The sequence below is a fragment of the Homo sapiens genome, chromosome 10 (assembly GCF_000001405.40).
Source record: "Homo sapiens chromosome 10, GRCh38.p14 Primary Assembly".
Taxonomy (NCBI): domain Eukaryota; kingdom Metazoa; phylum Chordata; class Mammalia; order Primates; family Hominidae; genus Homo; species Homo sapiens.
In genome coordinates, this window is record NC_000010.11 from 75079240 (window position 1) to 75094016 (window position 14777).

The following is a 14777-nucleotide window of genomic DNA, read 5'->3' on the forward strand; positions in this document are numbered from 1 at the left end:
AGATATTTGACATCACTTTTTATTTCATACTGTGTCTTTGAAATCTGTGAGTATTTGATACTTATAGCACATTTCAATTTGGACCAGCCATCTTTCAAGTGCTTAACAACCCCACAGTGCTGGTGGCCCCCATGCTGGACAGCCCAGGTCTAAATCTTTGAGAATGGGATAAGTCAGTGTGGTGATGGGAATATGGGGTGGCGCGGCTTCCATTTATCCTCCGACCAAGGCCTGACCTACCTTCCTCCCACCAGGAGGACAAGTTTCCTCAACTGATTACAAACCTTCCCTCCTGCCCTGCCTGGGTTGGCCACAGTTCCTAAAGTCTAGCTGTGGGTGCCTTTGGAGGTTTCAGTCACTCTCGAAGGAGTTTGCCAGCAGCTGGCCTGGCCCCGTCTGCTGTGAAGCTGTCACTTTTGACTCTGATGGCTGAGCTATGTGAGGACATTGTGTTTGGCGAGAAGGCCTAAGGGCCAAGGATATTTCTCTGAAATCGATACCTCTGTTTCTCTCCCTGGCTGTCAAAACACTGGGAAAGCTGCTGTCAGTCTTCTGCTGGGGGGCTCTGAAGCACTTAGGACCCACAGCAGGGGCTATGGGTAGGGGTCCTCACCAAATTCTGCATTTCCTAAGGGATGAATGCTTTGCTCAAGCTTGTCAGTGATCGCAGCAAATTGGTCAATTGTGTCTCTATTAGCACCTCTGTCTGCATGCCAAGACTTGTTTATTTTACAGATAGATGGCTGTTTCCTCTTCACGGCCTGTTAGTGCATCAAAGTGACACTGGTGAGGATTGACAGGGTGATTGCTTGCATGGGGGAGGCAGGAGAGCAGAGGAGTGAAGGACGTGTACTTTCAAACATAAGGAATTGGGTTCAAATCCTGCCTCTCCCACTTACCTCTGAACTTGTGCAAATTCCTTAACTTCTTCAAGCTCATCTCTCTTTACGTTGGGCATAATAACAGGAACAGTAACAGGATCCACCTCTAGCATTATGGTGCAGGTTGAATAAGATAATGCATATAAAGCTCTTGGCTTGTCCTAAGCAACCAGTCTGTGCCAGTCACTACTGTGCTTTTTCTTGCTTTCCCTCAACTCTGGTTCATTGTCTTAGCTCTGATTGGACTAAGAAATCCCTAAAGAGGATTAAACTAACCGACCAATGGGGGCTGAAATCTCCCCATGGATTCAGCAGTTGACCCAGGTAAGGCCCTACTCTGTGTCCAGGCCCTGTTCTAGAAGCAGCCAGCAGGTCAGGGAGGCAGGAAATCGGGACCTGTCTGGGGTGAACTCACAGTCTGGTGGGGAAATGCACTCCTGAGCACATGCTGGTGGCTCAGTGGATGCGGGCTGTGCTGGGGGTGCACACAGGGAAGGGCTGTCCCATAGAGCCGGGAGATTCCATAAAGACTGCTCAGAAGTGGCCAGTTTGGCACTGGATGGGAGTATCCTATGATGATGTGCTGGTCATCCATGAACCCAGTGGGCACTCAACAAGTCAAATACTTGTTGCACAGAGAGTGATGTTATTCCAAACTGCCGTGGGCCTTTTGTTCAGAGGCAGACATTAGCCAGTCTGTGATCGTTTGGTTTTTTGTTTGTTTGGTTTTTTAGAGACAGGGTCTCACTCTGTTGCCCAGGCTAAAGTGCAGTGTTGTGAACATAGCTCATGGCAGCCTTGAACTCCTGGGCTCAAGCAATCCTCCTGCCTTAGCCTCCCAAGTAGCTGGGACTACTGACGTGCACCATCATGCCTGGCTAAGTTTTTGTTTTGTTTTGTTTTGTTTTGTTTTCATTTTTTGTTGAAACAGGGTCTCATTTTGTGGCCCAGGCTGGTCTTGAACTCCTGGCCTCAAGCAATCCTCCCACTCAGCCTCCCAAAATGCTGAGATTACAGGTGTGATTACAGGTGTCACCACACCCAGCCAACCCATGATAGTTTAGTCATGACAGGTACCTTGAGCCCACCCCAGTTAAATTTCAGGGACTTTATCTCGAAGAGAAAAAAGATGATAATGTATAGGCTGGACTGAGTTCAGTTTTAGGAAGGGGTTGACTTTGATACATTGTGCAGAGGATCCTCTACTGGTCAGGAACCAGCAAGGAACAGAATTCACCAGGGTTGCTTTAAACAATAAAATATTAATGAAGGGACTACATACAGAGCGTGAACAAGGTTAAGGGAATAAACAAGGAATGCTGCAGCATCCAGGAAGTAGCAACAGTGGAAAGCCATGGGATATAGATGTGGCTGTGCCCCAGCTTCAATCCAGCAGATAAAGACAACATTCTCGGGGACAGCAGAGCAACAAGGTGGAAGGAAGCTGGGTCCCTGCATGACCTTGTGGAGCCGAATCACTTTGCCAGTCTAGACTGCCCACCTACCTCTGTACAGTGACATGAGGGAGAAATAAGCAGCTGTCTGTTTAAGCCACTGTATTCTGGAGTCTCTGTTACAACAACTGGCCTGTGCCCTTATGCGTTCAAAGACCAATGCAGCTGGAATAGAGTGAAAGAGGGTGTGAGCGTTAGCAGATGAGGGCCAAGATCTCATAGGGCCCCGCAGGCCAAGGTAAAGAGTTTGGAATTTATTCTAGGGAGCGATGTTTACACGATCTAATTTGCATTTGAAAAAGAACATTCTGGTTTGTGGAGAATGAAATGCAACGAACAAAAGTAGAGGCTGGGACACTAGTGAGGAGGTTATTCTGGATGTCCAGGCAAGAGCTGCTGGTTGCCTTCGTCAAGGGTGGTAGCAGCAGAGGTTGTGAGAAGTGAATCAGATTCTGGATATGTTTTGATGGTGGATTATAAAGGATTATCTGACGATTTTGACTTTGAGGGGTTTGTATATTCAAGAATAAATGAAATAATACACAGTGCTTAACACAGGCCCTAGCACATAACCATTGTTGTTTTAAGAAAGGCTTTCTAATCCTACTGCTGTAGCTTTTCCCACAAGATGCTGGTGGGTTGGGCTAGCAAAGCAACTCACTACTTGGGTGTCTGGGCACAAGGTCTGGGACTGTCCCCGAGGCCAGTTTCAGGAGGGAAGGATGTCTGCGGGCATGACCCAGGAATCTGAGAGACCCTCGTGGCTGCAGTTGGGCTTGAAACCAGTCAAAAACTCACTCATTCTACCCATTCCTGTACAGCAAATAGTGACCCATTGCCTATTACGAGCTGAAAATTACTCTAGAATCTGAGTGAAAAGTACCAACAAGAGACACTGTGCACTGCCCTCATGTTGCTGCTATTCTTTCCACTGGGATGTGCAAAGAATGTGAGGTGTCTATTTTTCTTTGGCTCTTCTACCTTTCCCCACATGACCGGCCCCACCCTGCTGGGAATTGAGGACATTTAAATGGCTAAATGATAATGCCACAGTCCCTTCCCAGTTAAAAGCTCAAGTGGGCTGGGTGCTGTGGTTCATGCCTGTAATTCCAACACTTTGAGAGGCCAAGATGGGAGGATCACTTGAGGCCAGGAGTTCAAGACCAACCTGGGCAACATCTCTACAAAAACAAAAAACAAAAAAACAAAAATAAAAAACCAACCAGTTCTAGTGGTGCACGCCTGTAGTCCCAGCTACTCAGAAGACTGAGGTGGGAGGATCACTTGAGCCCAGAAGGTTGAAGCTGCAGTGAGCAGTGAATGCACCACTGCGCTCCAGCCTGGGTAGCAGTGAGACCCTGTCCCAACAACAACAAACAAACAAAAAAACAACACCTCAAGCACTTCAAATTCCCTTCTCCTGCCCAAGATGGATTATGGATGACATCAGGGTTTATTGCAAGAAGCAAGGTGGCAAGAAGGCCTTGATGCTATGGGCCCCTTGAGTCTGGCTGTTACACGTTTACGTTGGTGCAAAATGATCTTCCAGAAGCCTGAGTAAAGAGCAAAGTCCCCCTCTTTCAGTGTCTTCCTCGTTCTATATGGCACCCCCACCTACATCTGGGACACTGTCTTAGAGAAGGGAGGTCACCCTCCATAGACCTCTGTTGCTGCCCCTCCTCACCTCCCTCTTCTTCAAGCATCCTCTTTCTTTTCCTTTCTTACCAGAATATCCTCTCCTCTTGGCCTCCTCCTACTGGATGTGGCCCCCCTTTCCCATTTTTCTGGGACAATAATGACAAAATGACTTCCAGGTAGGGTTGAAAGATTTACAAATAAATGGGTTATTGTGTTTTGTTTTTTGAGATAGGGTCTTGCTCTGTCACCTAGGCTGGAATGCAATGGCACGATCACAGCTGACTGCAGCCTTGACCTCCCAGGCTCAAGCAATCCTTCCACCTCAGCCTCCTGAGTAGCTGGGACTACAGGCATGCACCACCACACCTGGCTACTTTTTTTCTTTATTTTTTGTAGAGATGGGGGTCTCATTTTGTTGCCCATGCTGGTCTTGAACTCCTAGTCTCAAGTGATCTTCCTGCCTTGGCCTCCCAAAGTGCTGGGATTAGAGGCATGAGCCACTGCACCGGCCTACAAATAAATTTTTAGATTAAGTTTGTCCCATGCTTCTTTGGGACGTATTTATGTTAAAAAGTTATCTGTTGCTTATCTGAAACTCAAATTTAACCGGGTGTCCTGTATTTTATCTGGCAACCCTACTTCTAGACAACCTAATTGTCGGCGAGAGGAATGAAAAGTACAGCCATTCAGTATTTTCAAAATATTATGCTTAATACAGGGCTTACCTCCTTCTGGCCTCTTGTCTGGACAGACTTACACAGGCTTCAGAAAGAAGGTAGGTTTCTCCCTACCTTCCCCCCTAGCATGGGCTATTCTGTTCCTTAGAGGAGCCCATTGTGTCTGTTGTGTGTGAGGGGGGTGGAGTTGGGGGGAGGATGGAGGAATCAACTCTGGTTTTCTGCCCTTCCTCCCCCAATCACACCAGGCAGGCTTCCCTGGGATGTGGGTAGCCCCATCCTGTCGGCAAAGCAATTGCTTACCTAGGATTTTATGAGGACATTTTTATTGAGCTGTAATTGAAAAAAAAATTCCAAGACATTCCAGATTTTTCTCATAAGCCTGCTTCAGGTGTGTATGCATGCGTGTGTGTGTGTGTGCGCATGTATGAACATGCATATACTTTGGCCAGACCACACCGGCGTCTTTGTTGAAAAAGTGAGGAGGTTTCATGTAAGGCATTTTACTTTTCTCTCCTTTTCTCTAAATTAAGGATCAGAATAAAGATCAGTAGGGATTCTGGAGAGCCTGCAAGAATCTTTTCATTAAGCAAATACTGCAGTAGCTGGAGAATCTGAGTGTTACGTAGGAGGGCTGTGCTTGTCATGACAGCCTAATATCCTAATGGAAGTTGACAACCATAGTTACGAAATCTATAATAGAATGCAGAGCCTGTTATCTCTGTGAAACTGCTTGGCAAAAGTTTGTAAATTATATACATATATTTAAAGAATGTGAAGTAAAGCCAGATGAGGGTCTTTTAGACTCAAATGGCCCTGTTATGTCCTCCTGCCTCACTCACGCACCTCCCCCCACTGCTGTTCTGAGAAGCTGCAGGAAAAGACAGCGTCTCTCTTGGGGTCTGTGTTACCAGCCCTCCCACCGCCCACTCAGGAAGGATGGAGATACAGGTCTTCCTTCTGTGCTCTTGATTGTCTCAGCAGAAGGAGAGATACTCAAGCTTGTACTGAGCGCCTACTATGTGCCAGGCACTGGGCTGCTTTGTTATTTCCACCCTCCCAGCAGAGCTGCGCAAGGCTGTTAATCCTTCCCACTTTGACACTTGAGGAACCTGAGGCTCAGAGGAGTTCAATATCTGCTCAGGTTCACACAGCTGGTCGTAGCTCCTGATCGCAGGAGGAGTCGCAGCGAAAACCCGAGTCCACCCGTGTCCAAGGCCCGGTTCTTTCTACCTTTCAGTTCCTGCCCCAGGCAGCGGCGCAGCTTGGTGGTGGCGGTGCGTGGGTGGCGGGGTGTGTTACGATCTCCTTGCTGGAGACATGTGGCTGCTTCTCAAGAGGGACAGCGCTGGATGGAGAGTGAGTGAGATCGGCCACATACCTCTGTGTGGTGCCCATTTCTGGGACAGTCCTGGATCCATCGACCCGCCATCCTCCCAAAGGTGCTCCCTCTCTTCAGGTGGTGCCCATGGTCCTATCAAGGTTCAAGAAGTGAATGATGAGTTTCTTTCAGATGCCACAAGGTGGACCCCCACTCAGGTGACCTCAGAGGTTCATGAGTAACACACTTAAGAGCAAGGACTCTGCTGGGCAATGGGAGTGCCTCCCGGCATGGCCATGGCTCCCTGGCCGGCTCCGCATGGGTTCTCAAGTGCAGACTGCTCTGCCTCCCAGTGCTCTGGTTACGGAGACTCTCCTCTGCTTTGCCTCTGAGGTTCCTGTGGCTGCAGCTGCCTGCCTCTGGTTCTTGGTGACTTCTGCTGCCTTCTGGCTCCTGCTTCCTGATCTCTCTCTCCAGGCACCTTCCAACCCAACCTGCCACCTCTGACTCTGTCTCCCATTCAAACTCTCCCAGAAAGCGCCTCACTGGGTGGGCAATTCCCCGTCCTGTCAATGGCAGCTCTTACATGAAAGGGCCTCACAGGCCTCTGGCTACCTGTGGGTCAGGAGACAGAACAGTTAAGACCAGGTTTGGGGCAAGTAATGGAGACTTCAAAAATAGTGGCTTAAACAAGATAATCATTTCTCTCTCAGAAATTATAAACTTTGCTTATTTCTCTCTCAAGATAATCATTTCTCTCTCGCTCGTCCTGGACTGCAGAGGCGGTTCAGGACAAGCAGGGAGCCCCACGCTCACATTCACACTCCAGGCAGCACCACGGAGGTGATTTTTTTCTTTTTTTTTGAGATGGAGTCTCCCTCTGTCGCCCAGGCTGGAGTGCAGTGGCACCATCTCAGCTCACTGCAACCTCCCCCTCCAGGATTCAAGTGATTCTTCTGCCTCAGCCTCCCTAGTAGCTGGGACTACAGGTGCCCACCACCATGGCCGGCTAATTTTTGTGTTTTTGGTGGAGACAGGGTTTCATCATGTTCGCCAGGCTGGTCTTGAACTCCTGACCTCAGGTGATCTACCCGCCTCGGCCTAGTCTTTCCCTTTCAAAGAGACTTTTCACAAGTTCCACACAAGAATTCCACTTACGTTTCATCTGCCAGAATGTAGTCATTTGGTCACACTTACCTGCAAGGAGGCTGGGAGATGTTCTACTTTAGCTGGGTTCATGGCCACCCAGATAACACTCGAGGCTCTTTGCCAAAGTAAAGGGGAGAATAAATATTGGGAGGCAAGTAGAAGTCGCTATCCAGCTCCAGACAAAGATTCTTGGCTTGACCAAACTTCAGTCAGGCTCCTGAACCTTCTTCTCGGCCCACCTGTGCACTTCCTGGTAAAATTGAGTTTTAGCAACAACCCTGCTAAGTCAGTTTATCAGGAACTCCTCCCTGCCCCCGCTCCCTTGCATATCTGATCAGGTTTCTCCTCCTCCACCCTTCTTCAGGTGATATCGAGCCATCCTGGCCTGTTTTCAGCAAAAATCCTATTAGGCTAGTTTAGCCAAAATCCCTCTTATCCCTGATATTTCCTCTTGGTAATTTTCCTTCCACTAACTCTACCCCTCTCCTTGTCTATAAAGTCCCACTTGTCCATGCCGTATTCAGAGTTGAACCCAATCTCTTCTTCCCACTGCAAAATCCCACTGTTGTGGTCCCCATACCCATCTCGGTGGTCCTGAAGTCTTCCTTTCTGTGCTTTAACAAGCATCACCAATTTTTTTTTTTTTAACAGGGCTCATCCTAATGCAGCCGTCTCTGGCTAGGACAGCAGATCCACCCTGTAAAGAGTTTGTGAGGCCAGGAATCCCTCAGAAAGGGGTGCTGGCACGATGGGTGCCTTGCACAGGCTGGACAGAGTGCTCATTCATATTCATGTGGCATGGCTGCAAAGGAACCAGAAGAGCCTCTTCACCCCACTCCCAAGCTTCCCCCTTAGCACTGCTGCCTGCAAGTTCATCACTCAAATGAAGTGATGCCTTCTCCAGCACTCCTTTTAAAGTGTGCCCCTGATCCTGGGCCCTCCCTCACAATCACTATCCAAGTCAGGATGGTCCTAGCAATCACTATCACTAAGCTGGAGCCCACAAGCCTAGTCTGACGGGGTCATAGTCATGGGTCCCAGGAGCCCCATCACAGGCTCAGAGGGTCCAGGAGGCAAAGCCCAAACACCTGCACAGGTGTGAAAGGGAAAGGGTTCTGAGGAGGGAGCGGGAGGGTGGGGGTGGGGGAAGAATGGGCTGATGGAAGGCTCTGAAGTAGCAGCCGGAGCGCAGAAAATCTCAGAGGAGGGGAAATGCTAGCAGCTCCCAAGGAGAGAGACCAGGCTGACCTGACATCATACGGATCAAGAAGCACGGATGAGGAGATGAATGCAGACACCTGGGGGAATGAGCTGAGAAAAGCAGAGTGATCTGAGGCAAAGGAGAATAATGGTGGTGGTTCCTCCTGCTTGGCAGGGAGGGTAGTACCTGGGGAGGATGTCATGGGGTAGGCCAGTTCCCCTTGAGTTTTCCCCAACCAAGTTTCCCCCAAGGCCTCCCTGGTTACGGAGTCCACACTGCAACTGCCCTCCCCACCCCAGGGCAGAAAGCAGAGGAGGCAGTCATCAAGGACTGGCTCTGAGCTAGAGGCCAGCAGAACCCCCAGGAGGCCTTGCCGAGGGCAGGAAGGAGGTCTCGGGCCTCTCAGCTGGAGTTTATTGTCCTGGGAGGAAGGTAGGATGGCGGGAGCTTAGGAAAGAGCTGGGGATGTGGATGAGGAGTGGGGAAAGGTTCTCTTTCTGGTAGCCTCTCCACCCTCCCCATCTCAAGGCCTTTGCCACCAATATCCCCCTTGGGCCCCTAACATCTTTCCTGGTCTCCAGTGGAGCTCTATTGCCGTCTTCATTCCCCTGTAGACACAGGGCCTCTCATCTCCATGCACTCAGCACCGGGGTGATGGATGTAGCCGCCCTGTCGCTTCCTCACTCACACACTCCTCTGGAGGCTAATGAAGTGGCTACAAGCCAGGGCTGCTGGTCAGACCTGGCTCTGCCCCTGTGCTGCTTACCCATTGATGTGTAACAAACTACCCCAAAACTTAGTGACTCCAAACAAGAGCATTTTCTGATATCTCATTTTAGGTCAGTAATTCAGGAGGGTTCAGTAAACAATTTTGCTGTTCCATGTGGCATTGACAGAGGTCACTCTGTGGTATTTCGCTGGCAGATATGCTGGTATGGAGTAAACAAGAAAGGGTCACACAAATGTCTAGTGTCTGGGCTCAGTGAGGCTGTCAACCAGTTGGCCTACCCATGACCAGTCCAGCATGGCAGAGTGGGGCACAGGCCGACTTCTACAGGGTGGCTCAGGATTCCCAGAGAGCACATTCCAAGAGACCCAGGTAGAAGATGCAAAGTGTCTTATGACAGCCTCGGAAGCCCCAGAATGCTGCTTCTGCTGCATTCTCCTGGCCAGCAAGTCACTAAGGCCAATCCAGAATGGAGGCTCACGAAGTGTTTAAGAACACAGGTTCACTGACTGAGTTGGTAGTATGATTCTACCCTGCTAGCTAAGCAACCTGAGAAACTTTACTTAAGCTCTTTAAGCCTCAGTTTTCTTATCTGTAAAATGGGAATAACAACATTATCTACCTCTTAGGGTTTATGAGAGTTTAATTGTATATACATATATATAATTTCTAAATTAATACAAATGTAAAAATTATACATATAAATTATACATGTGTGTATGTGTATGTATATATTTTGTTTGTTTGTTTGGCATTTAGTTTTTATTTCATAATCATAAACTTAACTCTGCAATCCAGCTGGGCATGGAAGGGAACAAGGAAAACATGGCACCCAAAGGGAACTGCAGTGAGAGCACAAAGATTCTAGGATACTGCGAGCAAATTGGGTGGAAGGATGCTCTCCTGAGTTACAGAAGGAATGGTCTGGAGGTTAAGATAAAACACAAGTCAAACTTATTAGAGTTGTCCACAGTCAGCAATGGTGATCTTCTTGCTGGTCTTGCCATTCCTGGACCCTCCATGGCCTCCACAATATTCATGCCTTCTTTCACCTTGCCAAAGGCCACATGCTTGCCATCCAACCACTTAGTCTTGGCAGTGCAGATGAAAAACTGGGAACCATTTGTGTTGGGTCCAGCATTTGCCATGGATAAGATGCCAGGACCTGTATGCTTTAGGATGAAGTTCTCATCATCAAATTTCTCCCAGTAGATGGACTTGCCACCAGTGCCATTATGGCATGTGAAGTCACCACCCTGACACATAAACCCTGGAATAATTCTGTGAAAGCAGGAACCCTTACAACCAAATCCTTTCTCTCCAGTGCTCAGAGCACGAAAGTTTTCTGCTGTCTTTGAAACTTTGTCTGCAAACAGCTCGAAGGAGACACAGTCTAAGGGCTCGCGGCGATGTCAAAGAACATGGTGGGGTTAACCATGGCTGATAGTACAGGGCTCCTGCCAGTGGCTGTGGCGTCTGCAAAGCCTGTTTTTGTTTTTTTTAATGCCCGCTGTAGAAAGCTCATGATCATCAATATCTGCAGTTTCCTCTTCTTCTTGGGCACCACCCTAGACTATTTCCTGGCTTCCCCTGCAGTTAGGTGTGGCCATGTGACTGGTTCTGGCCCATGGAACTTGAGGGGCAGTAGTAGACCTGGCCTCCATTCCTCCATGCTTACTCTCCTGGCCCTCCATCTACCTGTGTTTGAATAAAAAATAAAGCATGGCCTGGCCAGGTGTGGTGGCTCATGCCTGTCATCCCAGCACTTTGGGAGGCCAAGGCAGGAGGATCGCTTGAGTCCAGGAGTTTGGGAACAGAGTGGTAACATAGGGAGACCCCGTCTCTACAAAAAGTCAGCTGGGCGTGGTGGCATGTGCCTGTGGTCCCAACTACTTGGGAGGCTGAGGTGGGAGGACCCCTTGAGCCCAGAAAATCGAGGCTGCAGTGAGCTGTGATTGTACCACTGGACTCCAGCCTGGGCAACAGAGTGAGTCGCTATCTAAAAAATAAAAATATCAATCAATCAATAAAGTGTTGCTGAGTTTAGGTCACTCAGGTTTTGGGGCTGTCAGAGTCATTGGCCTAGCCTGACTGACTAAGGCACAGGTAGATAATAAAGTTCTCAATCAATACTAGCTGCTGTTCTGGCCTAATCTCCCTGGGCCTGTGTTCTCACCCATAAAATGGTGTTCACACGACCCACCCTACAGGATTGAGGAGTGAAAGAAATGATGGAGAGTATGACTTACTGGCTTAGCTTCTCTTCAACACGGTTACTTTATCTAAATACTACCAACTGAGTCATCATTACCTTTTTTCTTAAGCAAGATTATTTGTAATATAGCCTCTTTAAAGTTTTATTTTTATTTATTTAGTTTTTGGAGACAGAGTCTCGCTCTATCACCCAGGCTGGAGTACAGTGGTGCAATCTTGGCTCACTGCAGCCTCTTCCTCCCAGGTTCAAGCGATTCTTGTGTCTCAGCCTCCCAAGTAGCTGGAACTACAGATATGCACCACCACACCACGCTAATTCTTGTATTTTTAGTAGAGATAGGGTTTCACCGTGTTGGCCAGGCTGGTCTCCAACTCTTGACCTCAAGTGATCTGCCTGCCTCAGCCTCCCAAAGTGCTGGGATTACAGGCGTGAGCCACTGCGCCCAGCCCAGAATACTTCCTAAAATCCATTTGACTTGATGGTTTCCAAACCTAAATACAGAGTAGGATGTTCCTAATTTAGAAGTTAGTAGATTTATTTATTTTTAATTTTTAAAGTGATGAAATTTTTTTAAATATAAAAAATCATATAATAAACACCTGTATTCCCACAACTCCATAAATATGGTCAAATCTTAACATTTTGCTGTATTTGATACTTGATTTTTTTTTCCTTTTTAGAGACAGGGTCCCACTCTGTCGCCCAGGCTGGACTGCAGTGGTGCAATCACAGTTTGGCTCACTGTAGCCTATAGCTCCTGGGCTCCGATTCATGTGTTTTCAAAAGACATAAAACATTATGGATGAAATTTGAAAAAAAAAAATTTGTATCTAAAGAACTTGGCACAGTGCCCGGCATATGCAAAGCAGTTGGTAATTGTCAGCTAATTTTTTTATTTTTGAAATAATTTTAGATTTACAGCAAACTTACAAAGATAGCAGAGACATTTCTTGTATATCCACTCAGCTTTCTCTGATGTTAGCTTCTTACATAACCTTGCTACCTTTATCAAATAAATTAACATTGCTATAACACTATTAACTAAACCACAAACTTTATTCAGATTTCACCAGTTTTTCCACTTATGTCCTTTTTCTGTTCCAGGATCCAATCCAAGTCCAGGTGGGGTGGCTCACTCCCGTAATCTCAGCACTTTGGGAGGCTGAGGCAGGCAGATCATTTGAGGTCAGAAGTTGGAGACCAGCCTGACCAACATGGTGAAACCCTGTCTCTACTAAAAAAAAAATAAATAAATAATATGCCAGGCGCAGTGGCTCACACCTGGAATCCCAGCACGTTGGGAGGCCGAGGTGGGCGGATCACCTGAGGTCAGGAGTTCAAGACCAGCCTGGCCAACATAGTGAAACCCTGTTCCTACTAAAAATACAAAAAATAGCCAGGCATGATGGCAGGTACCTGTAATCCCAGCTACTCAGAAGGCTGAGGCAGGAGAATCACTTGAACCTGGGAGGCGGAGTTTGCAGTGAGCAGTGAGCCGAGATTGTGCCACTGTACTCCAGTCTGGGCAACAGAGCAAGACTCCATCTCAAAACAAAAAGCAAACAAAAAAAACCCAGGATCCAATCCAGGATACCATGTTGCCTTTAAGTCAGCTAATTTTTACTCATTCATCCATTCGTTCAATGCACTGAGAATGCTGCCAGCTTTCAGTCCAAGACTGGAGCCCCAGTACTATGTGCTGTGATGATGATTGATCACAGCTATCATTTAATTATGTATTTTATTATTTTTATAAATGACATGGGGTCTTGCCATGTTGCCCAAGCTGGTCTCGAACTCTTGGGCTCAGGCGATCCTCCTGCCTTGGCCTCCCAAAGTGCTGGGATTACAGACATGAAGCACTGCACCTGGCCACAGCTACCATTTCTGGGAACTCACCACATATTGTGCAAAGCACTTTCTATATGCCCCACTTAATCCTTACAGCAATCCTATGTGGTGGCTGTCATTAATCCTGTGTTATGGATAGGGAAACTGAGGTATGGAGAGATTGAGATCATACATCTGACAAGGGGCAGAAGTAGGATTTGCACCCAAAGAGTCTGGCTCCAAAGTGGTGCTCCTCACAATACACCACTTCTTTCACAAGGCTGCTCTATAGAAGAGGGAGATATGTTATTACAGGCTGCCCTGGGTGAGTGTGGCAGGCAGGAAGGCATCCCAGAGGAGGTACCAGCCTGGAGCTCGGCCTCGATTTCCTCAGTACTTGGGGAATGTTTGGCTTCCCCTCCACCTGCCTCCTCATGGCTTCCTTCAATCTCCCCCTGCAGCCTCAGATTCTGCACCCAATCCACAGAGACCCAAGAAGGTGACCTGCTGGAACCCAAGCCCCAGGCCCAGAGTGTGGCTCTGTCGCAGCCTCAGTGCATCCACCCCAGCCAACAGGGGCAGGCTGCCCATACTCAGATGGGGATGACTGGCTTCTGGAGCCACTATCTTGGGTCCCACTGATGGTGCATGAGCAAGAAACCGCAACAAGCATTGAGTTGTCAGGTGGAAGAGGGATCCAAGGGAATTGGGAATGGGCAGGTGGGGCTACTGAGCTGGAACTGGGTTTGTCTGCTCCAGAGAATCATAGACTCCATCAACCCCAGGATGAATTGAGAACAGTCTTCCATTCCTAGGGTGGGGAGCCCAGGGGTGTTTGCACCTGCCAGGAGGGGGCTGGGCCCTGTGACTAAGCTAGACACGGCAGCACCAGCCCTCCCACCATCCTCCACCTAAGACATATGTATATCCTCTGTAAAAGACCCAGAGAGCACCTGAGGCAGCCAACAGCAATGTGGGATTGGGAGCAAGTGTTGCAGAGAACTGAGAGAGCAGAAACACTGCAGGAGAGAGGAGGCAGAGGATGGAACTCTGAGAAACCTTGATATTGAAGGGCCAGCCAAAGGAGGCAAGGGGCCAGGCACAGTGGCTCACACCTGTAATCCCAGCACTTTGGAAGCCTGAAGCAGGAGAATCACTTGAGTCCAGGAGTTCAAGAGCAGCCTGGACAACATAGTGAGACCTCATCTCTACAAAAAAAATTTAAAATTAACTGGGTGTGGTGGCTCACGCCTGTGGTCCCAGCTACTTGGGAGGCTGAGATGAAAGGATTGCTCGAGGTGGGGTGTGGGGATCAAGACTGCAGTGAGCTGACTGCACCACTGCACTCCAGCCTGGACCACAGAGTGAGACCCTGTCTCAAAACAACCAGAAAACCCAAACACACACACACACAAACAGAGGAGGCAAGACCTCACTAACAGCAGCCAGAGAGGTAGAGGAAAGCTGCCCATTTAAACCCCATAAATACCTTGGGTTTTTATGATGTATTTTACAGGTGAGGAACCTGGGAGGGGGCCTTTCTTTATTGTTTTATTTTATGTTGTGCCAAGATAAGAACTAAGAAACTCAGAGCTATTTTGTTCCATCATATAACTGTCCTTTGCCTAGTATTTCTGGTATGTCTCCTTCCCAACCCCATCATCCTCTTGTTTAATGCTTTAAT

General features: G+C 48.1%; 1 pseudogene, besides 4 other annotated features; it reads right to left on the bottom strand.

Moving 5' to 3' along the window:
• Positions 155 to 716: an enhancer, noted in NCBI's record as "NANOG-H3K4me1 hESC enhancer chr10:76839152-76839713 (GRCh37/hg19 assembly coordinates)". NCBI's record gives its function as "activates a minimal SCP1, AML or CMV promoter by ChIP-STARR-seq in naive and primed H9 embryonic stem cells {active_cell/tissue: H9 hESC(naive and primed)}" and the evidence as "EXISTENCE:reporter gene assay evidence [ECO:0000049][PMID:30033119]".
• Positions 717 to 1277: an enhancer, noted in NCBI's record as "NANOG-H3K4me1 hESC enhancer chr10:76839714-76840274 (GRCh37/hg19 assembly coordinates)". NCBI's record gives its function as "activates a minimal SCP1, AML or CMV promoter by ChIP-STARR-seq in naive and primed H9 embryonic stem cells {active_cell/tissue: H9 hESC(naive and primed)}" and the evidence as "EXISTENCE:reporter gene assay evidence [ECO:0000049][PMID:30033119]".
• Positions 3105 to 3605: an enhancer, noted in NCBI's record as "H3K4me1 hESC enhancer chr10:76842102-76842602 (GRCh37/hg19 assembly coordinates)". NCBI's record gives its function as "activates a minimal SCP1, AML or CMV promoter by ChIP-STARR-seq in primed H9 embryonic stem cells {active_cell/tissue: H9 hESC(primed)}" and the evidence as "EXISTENCE:reporter gene assay evidence [ECO:0000049][PMID:30033119]".
• Positions 5613 to 6113: an enhancer, noted in NCBI's record as "H3K4me1 hESC enhancer chr10:76844610-76845110 (GRCh37/hg19 assembly coordinates)". NCBI's record gives its function as "activates a minimal SCP1, AML or CMV promoter by ChIP-STARR-seq in naive H9 embryonic stem cells {active_cell/tissue: H9 hESC(naive)}" and the evidence as "EXISTENCE:reporter gene assay evidence [ECO:0000049][PMID:30033119]".
• Positions 9793 to 10531, bottom strand: PPIAP13 (peptidylprolyl isomerase A pseudogene 13; annotated as a pseudogene).